The sequence below is a fragment of the Homo sapiens genome, chromosome 7, assembly GCF_000001405.40.
Source record: "Homo sapiens chromosome 7, GRCh38.p14 Primary Assembly".
NCBI lineage: Eukaryota > Metazoa > Chordata > Mammalia > Primates > Hominidae > Homo > Homo sapiens.
The window spans coordinates 1,060,671-1,079,500 of record NC_000007.14 but is presented as its reverse complement, the minus strand read 5'-3'; the positions used below and the strand labels follow the sequence as shown (position 1 = coordinate 1,079,500).

The following is an 18,830-nucleotide window of genomic DNA, read 5'->3' as shown; positions in this document are numbered from 1 at the left end:
TAGCTCACGAAACCGTCTCCCCAGCGTAGACAGTTGAGTGGCTTCTGAACTGCTTTTCCAGACCTGCGCTTGTCTTTCATACCATCCCAGGATGGTTCACACGTCACTGTTTCTGTGCAAAAGCAGCATAAGCTTTTGAGGTCACAATTCTCGTGTGATTTGAGGTGTCCCCATAGGGAGGTGGACAGCAGACGAGCAGCCGGGCGTTGCCTGCCTGGGGACCCAGGATGGCTGTGAAGGTCTGTGGCCGCCCCTCCGCAGCCTCAGGTGTGTCCCTGTGGCCTGCGGATGTCAGCTTCGAGTGGCTTGGGAGGTTTGTTTGCGGCTGTTGACTTCCTGCTCCTCCCGTAGCCACCTTTGTGCCCTGCTGGTCTTGTGACCCTGGCCCTCCCTCTCCAAAGGCCTCGCTGCCTCCTCAGCCGGCCATTCACCAGCAGTCTTGACAGAGCCCTGACCCGCTGCCTCGCTGCCTCCTCAGCCGGCCATTCACCAGCAGTCTTGACAGAGCCCTGACCCGCTGCCTCGCTGCCTCCTCAGCCGGCCATTCACCAGCAGTCTTGATGGAGCCCTGACCCGCTGGGGTGGGGGATGGAGCTGAGTGTTTGGGGGAAGGCTGAGCTGGGGCTTGAGGGGGCACCTGGCCAGCCAGAGCCAAACAGGTGAGCCGCAGGCTCTGCTTCACTCCATGTGCCCCTCACAGAGCTCCCAGCCTCTGTCTGGAGCAGGCACTGTCCCGGGGTCCCAGTGGGCAGGTGGGCACATGGCCTGGCTATGAGTTCTGCATGGTTGTAAGGCAGCGAAGCCCAGGTTTTCACTGGGCCAGCCTGTGATCCTGCAGACTAGCCAACCCCCCGGGAGTGCATTTGGGCCCTGTCGTGAGCATCTTGGTGGGAGTTTGAGGAGACGAGATGAACCGGCGTGGGGGGCGTTAGGCCTCGCCTGTGGTCACGGGAGTGTGGGGTGCAGGAGCATCTCACAGGACTCCCACCTGAGCGCAGCGCCTGCCTTGTGCAGAGCCTGGCTGGGGTCCCTGCTTGCTGTGGAAGATTTAACCCCAGGTCTCACGGGGCCCCCTTCCCAGGCCTCATGGGGCCCCCTTCGCAGGCCTTCGTCTTCTGGGTGGGAAAACTGATGTGCCTGAGCCCCCCCCCACCCCGCAGCTGGTGGAAAGAATCCTCCATTCAGGTTTCGGGCCCTGTGAAAATATACGCTCTCCAGGCGTGCCCACTATAGGGCACCCGCTGTGCTCTGCCACGCGAACTGTCTCCACTTCCTTGCCCTGCCGCAGAAATCCCACCATAGCTGCATATCTGGCAGCTGAGCCAAAACCCTGACGTGTTTTCTGACTGTCCGCAGACCTCGTCCAGCTCCGTCTTCAGGAGACAGGACTAGAGCCACCGTGAATCTCAGTCATTTCCAATCCCAAACGCTGTAAAAATACACCGTATTTTCTTTTATTTAATGGGGCCAATCTGTAGTATAGAGAAGCTTTCGTTTTAGGAGAGAAACTTCCCACCACTGTGAAGTTGCTCCCATGTCCCCGCACACACGCCCAGCGGTCACGGAGCAGTTGGCGGCAGAGGACGCCGAGGCCGCGCTGGGGCTGCTGCTTCCCAGAGAAAGTACACAAAGCATTTCCCTCTGCCCAAGGCCAGCCGTGGCACCGAGGCCCGCCCTTGTGTCTGTCCCGCGCTTCCTTCAGTTGTTCTGTGCTCACCGAAAACAGGCACAGAAAACCTAGAGTTGTGTAAAGAAGACAGGAATCTGGTCTGAAGCCGCTCACACCACACTCAATGCACGTAAGCAGCGTCTGGCTTGCCCGTGTGACCTAGGAAAATTCAAACTAGCCCTGGTAGGAGGCAGCCAGCTTAGTACTGCAGAGGGAAAAGGTGGTGTGTGCCTGTGCACGGGGCACCTGAGGGCTTGCACGTTCAGAAAGCAGCCCTGCCAGAGCAACTTCAAATAGGACCTGGGGCCGGGCGCGGTGGCTCACGCCTGTAATCCCAGCACTCTGGGAGGACCAGAGCAACTTCAAATAGGACCTGAGGCCAGGTGCAGTGGCTCACGCCTGTAATCCCAGCACTCTGGGAGGCCGAGGCGGGCGGATCACAAGGTCAGGAGATAGAGACCATCCTGGCTAACACGGTGAAACCCCATCTCTGCTAAAAATACAAAAAATTAGCCAGGCTTGGTGGTGGAAGCCTGTAGTCCCAGCTACTTGGGAGGCTGAGGCAGGAGAATGGTGTGAACCCGGGAGGCGGAGCTTGCGGTGAGCCTAGATGGCACCACTGCACTCCAGCCTGGGCGACAGAGAGAGACTCCATCTCAAAAAAATAAAAATAAATAAAAATAGGACCTGAAAGCCCCCAAGAATACCAGGGAAAAGTGCTCAGGCCTTTGTAAGCCCAAGAGCGCCTTCCTCGGACCCTGTCGTACAGTCTCGAGCTAAGAGCCAGCATTGGCATCTGGCCCAGGCCGGGGGTCTCGGCCCTCTGCCCGCAACAGCAGGGTACCCAGAACAGCAGGAGCTCCGGACTGGACACTGGGTAACCTGAGTCTTGGCTGCAGAGCAGGGGCCAGCCCCTCGCTGACCACCCCGTAAGCCTGTGCCAGGAGCGTCACCCAGGGGTTGGGCGTGGGCTGTGCAGGAAGTGTGGCTAGAAGGCAGGTCCTCTCCCCAGCCAGGCAAGGCGTGCAAGTCCCCATGCTCTCCTCCCCCGGCTTTCCCGAGAAGGCTGTGGCGCTGGGCTGGGAAGAGTCCTGGCCAAGGCCACCGGTCCCTGAAGGGAGAGAGCCCTGCCAAGTGGAGGAAAAGATCTTGGACATTAATTCAGAGCCAGCTTCCCTCTGCGGCTTTTCCCAGGGCCAGCCCTGTTGGAAACTGAAAGCATAGACCTTTCTTACATCCCTCCCCGGTGCTTGTGCCCTGTGCATGACGCTTGCCTGTGTTAGGGGAACCCTCTCGGGCCTCTTTACACGGTGCCCAGTCCGCCTGCAGGCTCCGAAAACCAGCGTGGCACATCCATGGGAAACCACCGGTGCCACAGGGGAACTCCTCCCCAGAGCCCATGCCTGGGAGGGAGGTGCTCCCCAGCCTCCTGCGGAGCAGCATGCAGGCTCAGGAAAGGGTGCTCCTTGCAGCCTATCTGGTGGTGCTCCTCCCTGGCCTGCTCCTCCTTGGCGGTGCTCCTCCCTGGCCTGCCTCTCCCTGGTGGTGCTCCTCCCTCATGGTGCTCCTCCCTGGCGATGCTCCTCCCTGGCATGTACCACACTGCACTGCTCTTCTTACCCTTCTAGCAGGTCTGATGCTTATTCCAGCCGATTTTGCAGCCCTGGCTCTGCCATGTTGGCCTCCCTCAATTGCTTGTCACCAAGACCCCTGTGGTTTTTGACAAGGCGCTGGGCATGGATGGGTCTTTCCGAGCTCCACTGTGAATCACCTCGCCCTCTGGTCCTTGGGCCTGTCCTGGCTTGGTGGACTCAGCCGCTGGAGCTGGGAGTGGGGCGCCCTGGAGAGTGGCAGCCCCGGGCTTTGGTGACTCAGACTCTGCTGTTCCTACCTGAGGTCAGGAGGGTTTTTTTTTTTAATAAATGTGACCCGGGCTGGGCGCGCTGGCTCATGCCTGTAATCCCAGAACTTTGGGAGGCTGAGGTGGGCGGATCACGAGGTCAGGAGATCGAGACCACGGTGAAACCCCATCTCTACTAAAAATACAAAAAATTAGCTGGGAGTGGTGGCGGGCACCTGTAGTCCCAGCTACTCGGGAGGCTGAGGCCGGACAATGGCGTGAACCCAGGAGGCGGAGCTTGCAGTGAGCTGAGATTGCGCCACTGCACTCCAGCCTGGGTGACAGAGCAAGACTCCTACTCTGTCTCAAAAAAAAAAAAAAAAGTGACCCGATTTGTTGTGCGGCCTTGGTCAGCTTCAAGAGCCCTAAAACGGTTGTTTCTTTTCCTTTTTTTTTAATTTTTTTTTTGAGACAGAATCTAGCTGTGTCACCCAGGTTGGAGTGCAGTGGTGCGATCTCGGCTCACTGCAACCTCTGCCTCCCCAGTTCAAGCGATTCTCCTGCCTCAGCCTCCCCAGTAGCTGGGATTACAGGCGCCTGCCTGTAATTTTTGTATTTTTCCCCGGCTAATTTTTGTATGTTTAGTAGAGACAGGATTTTACCATGTTGAAGAGGCTGGTCTCAATCTCCTACCTTGTGATCCGCCCACCTTGGCCTTCCTAAGTGCTGAGATTACAGGCGTGAGCCACCGCCCCTGGCCTAAAATGGCTGTTTCTAACCACCCGTCTAGCTTGTCATTGCTCAGATGGCCTAGGAACCACACCCCTCCCGTGTTTGGTCCTCAGGAGAATTCAGTGAGGCCAGAGGACGGGTTGTGTTGGATGGAGGTGGCGGCAAGGCTGCTCCTGGGATGCTGCAGGGCCCCTGCACAGACCTTTCGGTTCTTGGTCCATTCTGCGCCCTCCCATGGCCCACACATCTGCAGTCACAAGGAGGAGCCCCCCAGCTCACACGTCCTCCCGCTCACCACACGGGGCAGCCACCAGGCTGGAGGGACGTCTGTCCTGCGCTCAGCCCTGCACCCACCCTGGGCTCTGCCCACCTTGCCCTCTGCTCTCTGATCTGTGAGAGGAGGAAGGCCAGAGCTGATGACACATGGGCGGGTCCCTCGAGCGGCTGCTCGGCAGGCTGCATGACATCCCAGGCGCGGGCCTCACCTCCCCAGCTGCTGTGCTGTTTCTTCTTCGTCTCCTCGGTGCCCCTCCTGGCCTTGGACACCTGCGCGACCTCAGAGCATGGGGCCGGGGCCATCGGACACAGACGCCTTAGGGATTTGCAGGTTCTTGCACAGCAGTGTTTCTGAGGAAGGCGTTTTTTGGGGTGTCTCCAAGTCTCCCAGCGCTGCTTCCTTGCCCCCCGCCCCGCCCTGCTGTCATGGTGGCTGTGGTCACTGAGCACCTCTGATTTGCCGAGGGCCGTGTGCTGCCGTCTACGCCGTCTGGTTGTAGTTGATGCAGTCCTGTCCCCTGGGTTCCGTTGTTGTGATTGTCCTTTTGTAGATGAGGAAATTGCAGTTTAGAAAGCACCTGTTGGAGGGGCCTGGCGGGTCTCTGCAGGGGAGGGAGGAAGGCGCCAGACGCTCGCTGACAGGTCCTGTGCTGTGGGACACAGACAAGGGTGCGGGGGCCGGGAGGCGTGATGGCAGCGGGATGGGGGCCGGGGGGTGTCACGGCAGCGGGGTGCGGGGTCGGGGGAGTGACGGCGGCGGGGTGCGGGGTCGGGGGGCGTCACAGTAGCGGGGTGAGAGGTCGGGCGTGACGGCGGCGGGGTGCGGGGTCGGGGGCGTGACGGCAGCGGGGTGCGGGGTCGGGGCGGGCGTCACGGCAGCGGGGTGCAGGGTTGGGGGAACATCACGGCAGCAGGGTGTCGGGGTCGGGGGTCACGGAGCGTGACGGCAGCGGGGTGGGGGGTTGGGAGTGACGGCAGCGGGGTCGGGGTGTGTGACGGCAGCGGGGTGAGGGGTCGGGGGGCGTCACAGTAGCGGGGTGAGGGGTCGGGCGTGACGGCGGCGGGGTGCGGGGTCGGGGGCGTGACAGCAGCGGGGTGCGGGGTCGGGGCGGGCGTCACGGCAGCGGGGTGCAGGGTTGGGGGAACATCACGGCAGCAGGGTGTCGGGGTCGGGGGTCACGGAGCGTGACGGCAGCGGGGTGGGGGGTCGTGGGGAGTGACGGCAGCGGGGTCGGGGTGTGTGACGGCAGCGGGGTGAGGGGTCGGGGGCGTCACTGCAGCAGGGTGCGGGGTCGTGGGGGGCGTCACGGCGGCGGGGTGCGGAGTCAGGGGGCATCACGGCAGTGGCGGCTTTGAACAGGCGACTTTCAAGGACTTTCTTCGCTTTCTCCACGGAGCTTCTGTTTTCATGAGAACCAAATATGGGCTGGGGAAGGAAACCACAGTAAAAAAAGTGTCTCAAGGAGTTGTGAGAAAGTAAGAAAGCTCTACGATGTTGAGGAGCAGCAGGTCGATGCTGTGGCAGATTCCAGCGGGATTAGGGGGTGGGAAGCAGAGCCTGAGGGGCGGCGGGAGCTCAGCTGGGGCGCCGGAGGAGCTGCCTGCGCGGGGAGTAGCTGCCGGCCACTTGTCTCCGAAACGGGAGTGGAATGCGGTGAGGAGGTGAGGAGGGAGGGCAGTGTTGCTTGAAAGCTCTCTGCCCTTCCCTTCCGCTGCCCTCTGGTCATTGTATGTATTTTGAAATTCACACCGAAGGAGGGTGTAAGGTGTTCCTGTGTGTGAAGCTGCAGAGTGGGTGAGAAAGAGGCCAGAGGAGCGCCTTCCTCTCCTGCTGCCAGTCCTGGTTTTCAGGACCTGGTTTTGGTCGGTGGGCCTAGGACATTTTCAGATCCTTCTAGAGACAACAGAATGACAGTAAGGGAACGTTGTAACAACTTTATGCCAATACTGGGCACATTGTTTTAAGATACAGATTACCATACTGACCCAAGAAGAACTTTTGAAGGCTCTGTCAGTCCTGTAACGATTAAAGAAATTGACTCCAGGCCAGGCGCGGTGGCTCACTTGAGGCCAGGAGTTCAAGACCAGCCTGGCCAACATGGTGAAATCCCATCTCTACTAAAAATACAAAAATTAGCCAGGCGTGGTGGCGCACGCCTGTAATCCTAGCTACTTGGGAGGCTGAGGCAGGAGAATCACCTGCACCCAGGGGGCGGAGGTTGCAGTGAGCTGAGATTGCGCCACTGCACTCTAGCCTGGGCACGATGGAGCGAGACTCCATCTCAAAAAAAAAAAAAAAAAAAAAAAGGAAAGAAAAGAAATTGACTCCATAATTAAAGCCTTTCTACAAGGAGGGCTGCAGGCCTAGCTGGCGGCACTGGTGTTGCCCCTCAGACGTTTAGGGAAGCAGTAACTTCAGCCCACAGACCGTTTTGGAAAGCTCTGTGTCTCAGATGCAATGATCATATCTAATTATGAAATGTGTTTAATCATATGCCTAAGCGCAGAAGCAGAACGCACAGCCCTTCCTTGACTGGACCCCATTTGACCCTGGAAATCCGAGGAGCAGTCGTGGTCCCGTGAGTGTGCAGGGCCTGGCAGGGCCAACCGGTGTCTGCCCCACTGCGTGTGTGCAGGGGCATTCATGAGCTTCGCTGCAGTCGTGCGTGCTTTGGACGTTTTCCGTGCCCTCCTCAGCACACGGGCTGCAGATGGGGAGTGGCGAGAGAAGAAGGGCAGCAGAGGCACCGTGGGCGGGTCAGTGTGTGCTGACCGTGGGCAGCCAGGATGCTTACGGCTCCAGGACCATGGGGAGGTGGGGGCACTCTGTGTGCATGGGAGGGTCTGGGTATCGGAAGGCCATCTTGGATCCCCGCTTAGGCCAGAGTCTAAGGTGTCTATGGATGCCTTGCCCAGGGCTCTTCCATCCTGAGCGCTGGGCCCCTCCCCGCTCTTCCCCTGTGTGGCTGGGTGACTGTTGGGTGCCACTTGCCCGGAGCTGCTTGGCTCTGTCCTGCAGCCTCCCCACGTGTGCCGACCAGGTGCAGAGCCTGTGCTGCGGCCGTGCGGCCTGGGCCTGGGGGTGCAGTCTTGGGTGCCGAAGCCCTCCTTCTAAGGTGTCCTAGGCTGGCTCCGCTCAGGTGGGTGAGTCCCACAGGGGCAAGGCTGCCTGTTGTATGTGGTGTCGCCCGCAGGCATGCCATTCCACCTTGTCCCATGCTGGTGACACCGAATGTGGTCACTTGACTGAGGTGGGCGTGCATCATAGGACTTCCCTGGCAATGCGTCCTGTGGCGACGGTGCCCTCCTGACCCCTCCCACCCGGTGCCTTTGCGTCTCCTGAACCTGTTCCTGCCCAGGGTCTGTGGAAACAGTGGCTTCTATGAAGACTCACAGTGGTACTTCTCCTCCCTCTCCCCTTTCCTCCCTCTCCTGCCTGCTTTTTGGAGTGTCGCTGTGGACTCATCAGTTTTTGTGGTTTTTAATGTATTGTGTGGCCAGTGGGAGCCCCCCAGCTGCCCCCACCAGTGCCCAGGCCCACCTCACATCAGCTTTTCTCCAAGGAGCTCTGGTCCTCTCAGCGCACCTGAGACTACCAGTGCTAGTGCCACAGAGCCCGGGGCCACAGCACCTTCCGGTTTCACCACTCACCAATGCATCGTTTATTAAAGTTTCTTTCAAAAAGAATTTTTAAGCCTATGTTGTTGTACAGCTGTTTCTCGCTTGCTTTTCTTGCCATTGCACCTGATCTGCTGCTGACGTGCGGGAGGGTCATTAAAAGATTGACTTAAATTTGATACCAGAAATGTCAGTGTGGCTTTGCTTGAACAGCCGCGTGCGGGGCCTCTATGAGTGGAATCCAGTCTCATGGCCCCCCCATGGCTCCTGTTACCCTGGAGGAGGCTACTCCATGAGGCTGGCTCCGGTGGCACTGCCTCGGGGCTGCATGTACATGTGTGTGCATGTGTGTGCATGTGCGTGTGCACGTGTGTGTGTGCCCGTGTGCATGTGCCCGTGTGCGTGTCTGTGCTGTGTGTGTGTGCATGTGTGCGTGTCTGTGCGTGCTGTGTGTGTGCGTGCATGTGTGTGCACGTGTGTGCATGTGCACGTGTGCGCACCCGTGTGCATGTCCGTGTGCACGCGTTGTGTGTATATGTGTGCACGTGTGGATGTGTGTGCATGTGTGCACGTGCGTGTCCGTGTGCGTGCGTGTGCATGTGTATGTCTGCGTGCGTTGTGTGCATATGTGCGTGCATGTGTGCGCGTGTGCGTGTTCATGTGCTCGCGTGTGCATGTGTATCGTGCACGTGTGCGTATGTGCGTGCATGTGTGTGCATGTGTGTCCGTGTGCGTGTTGTGTGCGTGTGTGCATGCATGTGTGCATGTGTGTGCGTGTCCGTGTGTGCGTGTTTGCGTGTGTGCACGTGTGTGCGTGTGTCCCTGTGCACGTGGTGTATGTGTATGCATGTGTGCATGTGTGCGCGTGCATTCGTGTGCCCGTGTGCGTATGTGCGTGCATGTGTGCTGGCCGGGCAGAGGGGCTCCTCACTTCCCAGTAGGGGCGGCCGGGCAGAGGCGCCCCTCACCTCCCGGACGGGGCGGCTGGCCGGGCGGGGGGCTGACCCCCCCACCTCCCTCCCGGACGGCACGGCTGGCCAGGCGGGGGGCTGACCCCCCACCTCCCTCCCGGATGGGGCGGCTGGCCGGGCGGGGGGCTGACCCCCCCCACCTCCCTCCCGGACGGGGTGGCTGCCGGGCGGAGACGCTCCTCACTTCCCAGATGGGGTGGCTGCCGGGCGGAGAGGCTCCTCACTTCTCAGACGGGGCAGCTGCCGGGCGGAGGGGCTCCTCACTTCTCAGACGGGGTGGTTGCCAGGCAGAGGGTCTCCTCACTTCTCAGACGGGGCGGCCGGGCAGAGACGCTCCTCACCTCCCAGACGGGGTCTCGCCGGGCAGAGGCGCTCCTCACATCCCAGATGGGGCGGCGGGGCAGAGGCGCTCCCCACATCTCAGACGATGGGCAGCCGGGCAGAGACGCTCCTCACTTCCTAGATGTGATGGCGGCTGGGAAGAGGCGCTCCTCACTTCCTAGATGGGATGGCGGCCGGGTGGAGACGCTCCTCACTTTCCAGACTGGGCAGCCAGGCAGAGGGGCTCCTCACATCCCAGACGATGGGCGGCCAGGCAGAGACACTCCTCACTTCCCAGACGGGGTGGCGGCCGGGCAGAGGCTGCAATCTCGGCACTTTGGGAGGCCAAGGCAGGCGGCTGGGAGGTGTAGGTTGTAGTGAGCCGAGATCACGCCACTGCACTCCAGCCTGGGCACCATTGAGCACTGAGTGAACGAGACTCCGTCTGCAATCCCGGCACCTCGGGAGGCCAAGGTTGGCGGATCACTCGCGGTTAGGGGCTGGAGACCGGCCCGGCCAACACAGCGAAACCCGGTCTCCACCAAAACCAGTCAGGCGTGGCGGCGCGTGCCTGCAATCGCAGGCACTCGGCAGGCTGAGGCAGGAGAATCAGGCAGGGAGGTTGCAGTGAGCCGAGATGGCAGCAGTACAGTCCAGCTTCGGCTCCGCATGAGAGGGAGACCGTGGGGAGAGGGGAGAGGGGAGAGGGGAGAGGGGAGAGGGAGAGCTATTTATTGTTTTTTGAGACGGAGTTTCGCTCTGTCGCCCAGGCTGGAGTGCAGTGGCGCAATCTTGGCTCACCGCAACCTCTGCCTCCCAGGTTCAAGCGATTCTCCTGCCTCAGCCTTCTTCGTAGCTGGGATTACAGGCATGTGCCACCACGCCCAGCTAATTTTGTATTTTTAGTACAGACGGGGTTTCTCCATGTGGTAAAGCTGGTCTCGAACTCCAGACCTCAGGTGATCCGCCCGCCTCGGCCTCCCAAAGTGCTGGGATTACAGGCATGAGCCACCGCGCCCGGCCTAAACGTGAGACTTTTAATGACGGTCTTGCAAGATCGGGTGTCTGGTGGGCAGGCACACCCAGCACGGTCACAACAAGCCATTTATCCCCCAGTACGCAGGCCCCTCCCCCGGTTCCTCACAGGCTGAGTACTCTGGGGTCACAGTCTTCCCGGACATCACCTATTGGTTGTCGGGCAGGGGCTGTAGGTGTTTTTTTAGGGTTGTCCTGCTGCATTTTGTTGCAGCCCACAATGCGTTGCAATCCTAGTCAGCTCAGGGGCTTTTCAGGTATTTGACTTATGACCTAAGTAGCTGGGCAGACTGATAAGAACAGACAAAACAAGCTATGTTGCAGACGAGTAAAACTTTCGTCATAGACTAAAAGTTTTTGGGTCAGGTGAAGGCAACTAAGCGTTGGGGGGAAGACTGGGGATGGGGAGGCCGACAAGCAGGCATCGGCAACCCAGGCAGGGGCCTGGTCTTCTGTAGCTTGCTGACCTAAGCAAGCAAGACACTGTGTCTTGGAAGTGGACCACTGTGTACATTATTTCCTTCACTGAGAACTGATTTTGCAAAGCCGAGTTTGTGTGACTGTGGAGGGCGAGTGTCCACACCAGGCAGCGTCCAACTCAGCGCTGTTTCTCAGACTGATGTCCCGGGGACAGTCACAGACCCCCGGGGCTGTCCTGCTCCCTGCCGGGTGGCAGTGACCATGGGGATGTGCATGAGGGCTCTAGGTCTGAGGGGTGGTTTGTCCAAGGTCATGGTCAGAGCCAGGACTGACACCTGGGTTCCAGCCTCCGTGCCAGGGGTGTGGCGTGAGCACCACGAGGGGAAACTGGGGACATGTGACACACTGCAGCGCTGAGGGGCCCTGTTCTGAGGAGCCAGTGGAGACCTGAGGACAAAGCATCCGTGTCTCAAGGCTTTGCCCTCTGCTAAGGTGGGCACTGCAGGGACCCCTGAGCTCCACAGAGAAGCGGACCTTACTGGGAGAGGAGCCTGGTGCGCAGGACCGTTGCTGGGGCCGCAGCGTGTGCTGCAGCGTCCAAACGCAGCTCTGGGTTTGTGACTGAGCATGGCGGTGATTCTGCCAGAGGCGGGAAGCCTCCCTGGTGTGCACTCCAGCCTGTGTGAAAACTGTGCCCCAAACCCTCACCTCTGGGGTGCACTCCAGCCTGTGTGAAGACTGTGCCCCAAACCCTCACCTCTGGGGTGCACTCCAGCCTGTGTGAAGACTGTGCCCCAAACCCTCACCTCTGGGGTGCACTCCAGCCTGTGTGAAGACTGTGCCCCAAACCCTCACCTCTGGGATGCACTCCAGCCTGTGTGAAGACTGTGCCCCAAACCCTCACCTCTGGGTGTATTCCAGCCTCCAACAGACTGTGCCCCAAACCCGCACCTCTGGATGTACTCCAGCCTCCACCAACAGACTGTGCCCCAAACCCTCACCTCTGGGGTGCACTCCAGCCTGTGTGAAGACTGTGCCCCAAACCCTCACCTCTGGGGTGCACTGCAGCCTGTGTGAAGACTGTGCCCCAAACCCTCACCTCTGGGTGTATTCCAGCCTCCAACAGACTGTGCCCCAAACCCGCACCTCTGGATGTACTCCAGCCTCCACCAACAGACTGTGCCCCAAACCCTCACCTCTGGGGTGCACTCCAGCCTGTGTGAAGACTGTGCCCCAAACCCTCACCTCTGGGGTGCACTGCAGCCTGTGTGAAAACTGTGCCCCAAACCCTCACCTCTGGGTGTATTCCAGCCTCCAACAGACTGTGCCCCAAACCCGCACCTCTGGGTGTACTCCAGCCTCCACCAACAGACTGTGCCCCAAACCCTCACTTCTGGGGTGCACTCCAGCCTGTGTGAAGATTGTGCCCCAAACCCTCACCTCTGGGTGCACTCCAGCCTCCACCAACAGACTGTGCCCCAAACCCACACCTCTGGGGTGTACTCCTGCCTCCGCCAACAGACTGTGCCCCAAACCCTCACCTCTGGGATGTACTCCAGCTTCTGCCAATAGACTGCCCCAAATCCTCACCTCTGGGGTGTACTCCAGCCTCCGCCAACAGACTGTGCCCCAAACCCTCACCTCTGGGTGCACTCCAGCCTCCGCCAACAGACTGTGCCCCAAACCCTCACCTCTGGGTGCACTCCAGCCTCCGCCAACAGACTGTGCCCCAAACCCTCACCTCTGGGGTGTACTCCTGCCTCCGCCAACAGACTGTGCCCCAAACCCTCACCTCTGGGGTGCACTCCAGCCTTTGTGAAGATTGTGCCCCGAACCCTCTCCTTTGGGGCATGTGGGGCCTTCCCTCGTGCCGGGCTGGAGGCTCAGGCTTAGGGATGGGCATCGGCCTCCCCAGCAGGCCCCTGGCAGACAGCTGGGGACGCAGTACCAAGGGTCTGGGGCTGGTGGTCTGGGAGCCTCTGGGCATCCCGTGGACAGACAGGTAGGAGGGCAGGTAGGTAGAGGGCAGGTAGAACCCCTCGTCCCCCCTTCTCTCCTCCAGCTTTTTCCACGTTGAGGTCTGGTCCTGGACTTCCCAACTTACTGGAAGGAATGGCCCGGGATCCTGGGACAGTTTGTAGGGAAGGGAAAGGCTGTTGAGCAGGGCCCCCCGCCGGGAAACAGGCAGTATCCTCCGCTCCCCTGTCCCTCAGCATGGCCCGGAGCTGGCATCTGTGGGCCACGATGGGCCCCAATTAGCCTGGCCCCAAATCTGCTAGGCGGCGTCCAGGCGGCGTGGGGGTCCCGTAGGAGCCCCGCCGGATGCGCAGACACCTACGGCCGCACCGTTGCTGCGTTTGTCGGTATTTTTCCCATTCCGGTCCCCTTCTGTGGGCCTGGGGAAATTCTGGGGGAGGGTGGGCTTTCTGGGCCGGGACCCCGCAGCGCCATGGAGCTTGTCCAGGAACAGAACCGGCGCATTCTCCTTGTCCTCCAGCCGCCGGCTGCCGGCGAAAGCCGTGGCGGGAACTCACCGAGTCGTGTCGGCCCCATGCCGCCTATTGAGAGGCATCCGTGCCGGCCGCGCAGGGCTCCCTCTGGTCCAGGCGCTCTGGTCCTCGGCGGGGCCCCTGCTCTCCTGGTGGGGCCCTGAAAGTGACGGCACCCCGACGGCCACTGGAGGGAGCTCCAGAACCGAGCCTGCCCTTGAGGCCGGAAACCGCGGCTGGCCCTGGAGCTGCCTTTGGATCGCGGAGTATTAAAAGTGCCCGCACTTGAAATCTTACTGCGTGTCCTGAAGAGAGCCCTGTCCCTTTCCCATGAGATGCTGAGCCGTGATCTGTACTCGGGAAGCACACAGATCTCCTGTCTCCACCCTGGCGTGTTCTGACAGGTGCAGCCGCTGTGTCACCAGCACCCCGGCAAGGGAGACCGCCTCCGTCGCCCCTCCCTGGCCCACGCCCTCCCAGACCCGGCCCTCGTCGCCGCTGTGTCGCTGGTGAGGTGGGTTCCCTGCTCTGGAGCTGCTGAAGAGGCTCCAGTACTTTGCACGTGCTCACATCTAGCTGTGTCCCCGCAGCTGCATGTTTTGTGAGGTTCACCCTGTTGCCGCGCCTGTCCCCGGTGGGTCCATTTCGCTGACGAGTAGCATTCCTTCGATGCGCAGGCCACATCTGTTTATCTGTCCACCTGTTGATGTGCAGTTGGGTTGTTTCCAGTGTTGGGCTCTTATGAGCAAAGCTGCCGTGAACATTTGTATACAGGTGCTTGTGTGGACTTCCGTTCCCATTTTTCTTGGGTAAATGTCTGGAATTGGGACAGCGGGGACAGATGTTAACCATGTTTAATTTTGGAAGTGGCTGCCAAGTGGGGTACGTTTTACCTTCCTCCCACCACCTCAGCTGCACACTTAGTGTATGCCAGTTGGCTGGAGCTGGGCAGGAAGCCAGCCTGTCCAGCCTTGGGTCTGGAGAGGGGCCCCAAGGGGTGCCGTGGCCCCTAGAACAGGATGGGGCCATGTTTCCTCCTGCCCAGGGCCTCATCGTTTCTCAGACTGGTGCTGGGAAGAATCTTCGTGCCCCAAGGGGCTCTGCAGAAAGCGTCCTGTGATGATTAGGGTTGGACAGCGGGGAACGCTGTCTTTTCTCTTTAGAAGCCTTAGTGTGTGTGGCACAGCTCAGATGTCCTGCAGAAAAGAATCGGATGCTGCTCGCTTGACCCGGCGTTTCCCACCCTCCCTCCTGGGGCCTTCTGTGCGCCCTGAGTGTGGGGTGGGCTGGGGCTTCTGGAGCCCTGGAGCCTGGCAGCAGGGGCTGCTCACTGCTGTGGGACCCTCTGGGCTTCAGTCTCCCTCGTGTCCATGGGGCGTCCCCCAGGGTCCCTGCTGGCCCCACATCCGACAGTCTGGGGCCAGGTGACTCGGCCGAGGGAGGAGTCCCTGCACCACGCTAGTTTGGGTGGATGCAGGGCTGGCTCTGGAGACTCAGCCTTTGTCTGCCGGTGCCTTTCAGGGTGACACTTGAGCTTTGAGCTTCGGTTCTCCTGTGTGAGGTCAGCTCGGGATTCCCTCCCTTCCTCTCAGGAGTCAGGGTGTTGCGTTTAGGCGCTGTGGGAAGCTCAGGGTCAGGGTCTGGAACCTGTCAGTGCCCCTGCTCCCCACCGCTGTTCCTTCTGCCCTCACCTTCCATGTCTCCTGCTGGGGGCAGCCTCCCTGCACAGCGTCTCCTCAGAGTCCCTGGAGCAAGGTAAGCCTTGTCTCCCTACAGAGCCACCATCTGCTTCCAAGAGTGGAGCCATCGTGCGTCTTTCCGGGGCCTGTTCTGTGGCTGCTAAGGGCCTGGTCTCCCCATCTTCACGTCACAGCCCATCAGGACCCGGCGCTGTGTCGGGTCTCCTACCCTGCAGCCGACGCGTGTGAAGCCTCTTCCGGTCACGGTGTTCCCGGGGAGGAGACAGACGTGTGTGTTTGTGTGTGTGCATGCGTGCTTGCATATGTGTGCATGCTTGCACGCATGTATGTGTGTGTGTATGCTGCCTGAGGCACACACATCTGTCTAAAGTTCGAGATGTTGAAGTGACTCCCTCCCCTCAGAGGCTGCCAGTTTTGAGTGTGGCTAGTCCCCCTGCCCCCCACCTCTGCAGAGGGAAGAACAGGCTGTTTCTGAGGGGTCTTCCATCTTCCAGGTGGGGACTTGCGGAGCTCTGACTTCTCTGTGGTGTGGTAGAGCTCGCCCTTCTGTGGAAAGAGAACAGCACAGGTACAGGGGTACAGTTAGATTAAGGAGCCGTGGCAAGGGCCCACATTCAGATCAAACCAGGAAGGACCTTACATCACTTAGAAACGTGGGCAGAATCCCTAAAGAGGCGCTTCTTTGGAGAGGCCAAGACGTCATTAAGATGGGAAATGCCTTAATCCTCCCCTGGCTTGGCACAAAATACCAGAGACACATGGCACCAAGGGCAGGTGAGGACGTGAGACCACACTTGGTGAGCGTGCGCGGCTGAGGCTGTGTCTGCCCGAGGAGTGCCCCACGCAGGGGCCCATGGTGGGCGCTGGGAGACACGGCAGAACAGCGCCGCTTCGTGCACGAACGCCTGAAGTTGGAAACAGTCCCCATGTTTGTCAGCAGCAGAGTGGACCAGTGAATTGTAGTGCCTGGAACCCGTAGGACACGGGACACGGGAAAATGACGCACACCCCAGGAGCAGCACAGGGAGCCCGTTTCTCAGGAGCACCCGATCAGTCACAGAGTGAGGAAGAGAGCCAAGGCAGTGAGCAGAGGGAAAGCCAGGGGCTTGCTTATGTTGCCAGACCGGCTGCCAGCCCCTGCCCAGTCCTTGTCCCAGCCTCAGGACACCTCCCATCTGTACCCAAAGATTTGCTGTTTGGGGACAGCGTCGCGTGGAAGCCCCAGATGTGGCCGGGGTCAGCTGGCAGTGTCAGAGCTGTGTTCATCTTGTGGTCCCCCAGCGAGTCAAGGTGGCTGAGCAGGATGGGGCGTGGGTCTGTGAGCGATGCCAGAAGACACAGGATGGAGGAGCCCAGAGAGAACGGAGGGGGCAGGTCAGATGCACTCACACGCTCAGGCTTGGCAAAGCCAGGCAGGCCCAGAGCGATTCTGTAAGGGTTAGGGTTCAGATGAGGGTGTTGAGGGTTAGGGTTAGGGTGGTTAGGGGGTTAGGAATAGGGTGTTTAGGTGAGGTTTAAGTTGGTTAGAGTTAGGGGTTAGGGGTAGGAGTAGGGGTACATGTGAAATGGGCATGTTCACGTTATGCTTCCTGCCTAGATTCTCTGCTCTTCCTTCACTTCCCAACCTGACGGAGTGCGGACCGTGCGCACCGCCATACAGCTCTTGCCAGGCTGCCCTGTGCAGCAGGGCGGAGGCAGGAACGTGTGCTCTCACTTCTGCCGGAATCCTTGGGAGGGCTGCAGGATACCCCAACACCTCAGTTCCATCCTCAGGGCCACAGAAGCCCTCAGGGGTGTAGTCAATGGTGACTTTATTCTTATTTTTCTGGGAGGAGTAACGCCTGTGTGGGGCAGGCCTGCTCCTTCAGCCCGCGTGGCTTACTCCTTCGCCAGCAGCCAAGGTACTCCCTCTGCTACCGTTTGAGACGTGTGGAGACATGGTTTGCGTGCCGGGCGTGTGTGAAGTGGAACCACTCCTGGGTGATTGGGTGGACAGAATTTCTGCAAAGAGGAACTACAGAGGGGTAACCGAAAGTATTAAGACGTACAATTCGAGGGGAAATAACCAATTTTATGATACTTTCTGTTACGGTTACTATTCCTGCTTTCCCTCTGTCGTGTGCTGTGTATGAAAGAAGACGTGTGTAGATTTCCTGATCTCTTCGCCACAATTCACACTAGATCCAGCTTCCTACAATAACTCTTAGAACTTTAATGAAGTGAATCTACAACTAAACTCCCTTTCTGGAATCTTACTTAAGGAAGCAGGGCAAGGTTTTTTTGTGGATAAACAAAAATAAGATGAATGATTTTTGAACTATAGTAGTCAAGAAGTGTTGGTAGCAATATCATTGACCCTGGGACGTCACGCGCTGAAAAACTCGCATCCTGGTGTCTCACAAACTGGGGAAGAATTGGGGAGTTGGGCAGACGGCTGCCTGGAAGAATTAAGCAGTTGGAGAGATGGCTGCCTGGAAGAACTAGGGAGTCGGGGAGACGGCTGCTTGGAAGAATTGGGGAGTTGGGGAGATGGCTGCCTGGAAGAATTGGGGAGTCGGGGAGATGGCTGCTTGGAAGAATTGGGGAGTTGGGGAGATGGCTGCCTGGAAGAATTGGGGAGTCGGGGAGATGGCTGCCTGGAAGAATTGGGGAGTTGGGGAGACGGCTGCCTGGAAGAACTGGGGAGTTGGGCAGATGACTACCTTGACTTTTTACAAGTAGCTCCTTTTTCTGCCCCGAGTGGCTCAAGTTCTTGTGTTCTGTGTGTGATGAGGTGAAGGCTTTGGGAATCTCTCAGGGGCGGCAGGAGGCTCAGGAGGTGCCGAATCTTCCCAGGTGAAGGCAACATAGAATATAGATGAGCAGGTGTCTCAGGAACAGTCAGCGACGCAGCTCCTGGGAAGCAGCCACAGAGACTGGCGGGAGCCTGGGGATGAGGACGGAGGCCTTGGCGCTCAGTGGAGGGTCTCAGGCAGCAGAGGCTGGCGGGAACCTGGGGATGAGGAGGGGACTCGCTGGGTAGGGGGTTGGGGCAGGCCATGGTGCACAGTGAAGTGTCTCAGGTAGCAGGCGAGGGTCTGCGCTGGAGGCATGTGCCTGCCCTGTGTGGGGCCCACCAGGAACAAACAGCTGACCAGGCAGCAGGGTGTCCCTGGGGCCCTCCACAGGGCCACCCAGCAGGGTGGGATGAGGGGTATTGAATGCAGGCCAGTCCCTGCAACAGACCCACAGAAATGAGCCAGTTTGCACCCAAAGCCACTGAGAAATTGAAATAGTGATTTTAGGCCCCTCCTGCCTTTGGGGAGGATAGTTGGATGGTGTAATTCCCGGGCAGAGGCAGCCCAGTGCCACCCTCACCTGTGTGTGGGGTCCGCCCCTTTCCTGGGAGCTCAGCGTGGAGCCAAGGGGGGCTGGAAAGTATCGGCCAGGAAGAGGGTCTCCTGGTTCAAGCACGGACACCCCACCCTGCAGAGCTGGGCTGCAGGGGTAGGAGGGTTGGGCTGACGGCGCCAGCCGCTGGGCAGGGTTCTGTGGGCTTGTGTGATCACTTCCTCATCGGATGCCAGGGTTTCCGCGCAGGCATGGAGATGGGAAGCCCAGGACCATCAGAGACGCGGCCCTTACACCAGCTCCGGCTCCAGAGGGACTGGGAGGGAGGTCAGGCCTGCGGCTTTAAAGGTTCACACCTGAAAACCAAACACTGACAGAAACAGCTCAGAAAACTGTTCTCTAATCCCACGGCTTAGGAGCCTGTCCCGC

At 59.6% G+C, this 18,830-nt stretch overlaps 1 protein-coding gene and 1 long non-coding RNA gene across 12 annotated transcripts in view, besides 5 other annotated features; one reads left to right on the top strand and one right to left on the bottom strand.

Annotated features, from left to right (window-relative positions):
- CHLSN (cholesin) overlaps window positions 1-18,830 on the top strand; it is a 160,294-nt gene that overhangs the window by 58,757 nt on the left and 82,707 nt on the right. The window lies entirely within an intron of this gene.
- On the bottom strand, window positions 1,439-13,770 carry CHLSN-AS1 (CHLSN antisense RNA 1). Of its 5 annotated transcripts, NR_187851.1 has the most exons (5): window positions 13,417-13,770; window positions 4,968-5,943; window positions 4,727-4,868; window positions 3,290-3,560; window positions 1,439-1,737 (listed from the first exon to the last, which is right to left on the bottom strand). It is a non-coding gene; the product is annotated as a CHLSN antisense RNA 1 (long non-coding RNA). The 5 variants fall into 5 exon arrangements; NR_187850.1 differs by having other exon boundaries at window positions 4,727-5,943; NR_187852.1 differs by lacking the exon at window positions 3,290-3,560.
- Window positions 8,136-8,918: an enhancer, noted in NCBI's record as "H3K27ac-H3K4me1 hESC enhancer chr7:1110219-1111001 (GRCh37/hg19 assembly coordinates)". NCBI's record gives its function as "activates a minimal SCP1, AML or CMV promoter by ChIP-STARR-seq in naive H9 embryonic stem cells {active_cell/tissue: H9 hESC(naive)}" and the evidence as "EXISTENCE:reporter gene assay evidence [ECO:0000049][PMID:30033119]".
- Window positions 8,919-9,702: an enhancer, noted in NCBI's record as "H3K27ac-H3K4me1 hESC enhancer chr7:1109435-1110218 (GRCh37/hg19 assembly coordinates)". NCBI's record gives its function as "activates a minimal SCP1, AML or CMV promoter by ChIP-STARR-seq in naive H9 embryonic stem cells {active_cell/tissue: H9 hESC(naive)}" and the evidence as "EXISTENCE:reporter gene assay evidence [ECO:0000049][PMID:30033119]".
- Window positions 13,628-13,797: an enhancer, noted in NCBI's record as "active region_25487". NCBI's record gives its function as "activates an Ori minimal core promoter by ATAC-STARR-seq in GM12878 lymphoblastoid cells {active_cell/tissue: GM12878}" and the evidence as "EXISTENCE:reporter gene assay evidence [ECO:0000049][PMID:35858748]".
- Window positions 14,854-15,148: a silencer, noted in NCBI's record as "tiled region #11358; K562 Repressive non-DNase unmatched - State 7:EnhWF, and HepG2 Repressive DNase matched - State 12:CtcfO". NCBI's record gives its function as "represses a minimal TATA promoter and a strong SV40 promoter by Sharpr-MPRA in K562 cells, with weaker repression in HepG2 cells {active_cell/tissue: HepG2 | K562}" and the evidence as "EXISTENCE:reporter gene assay evidence [ECO:0000049][PMID:27701403]".
- Window positions 16,928-17,097: an enhancer, noted in NCBI's record as "active region_25486". NCBI's record gives its function as "activates an Ori minimal core promoter by ATAC-STARR-seq in GM12878 lymphoblastoid cells {active_cell/tissue: GM12878}" and the evidence as "EXISTENCE:reporter gene assay evidence [ECO:0000049][PMID:35858748]".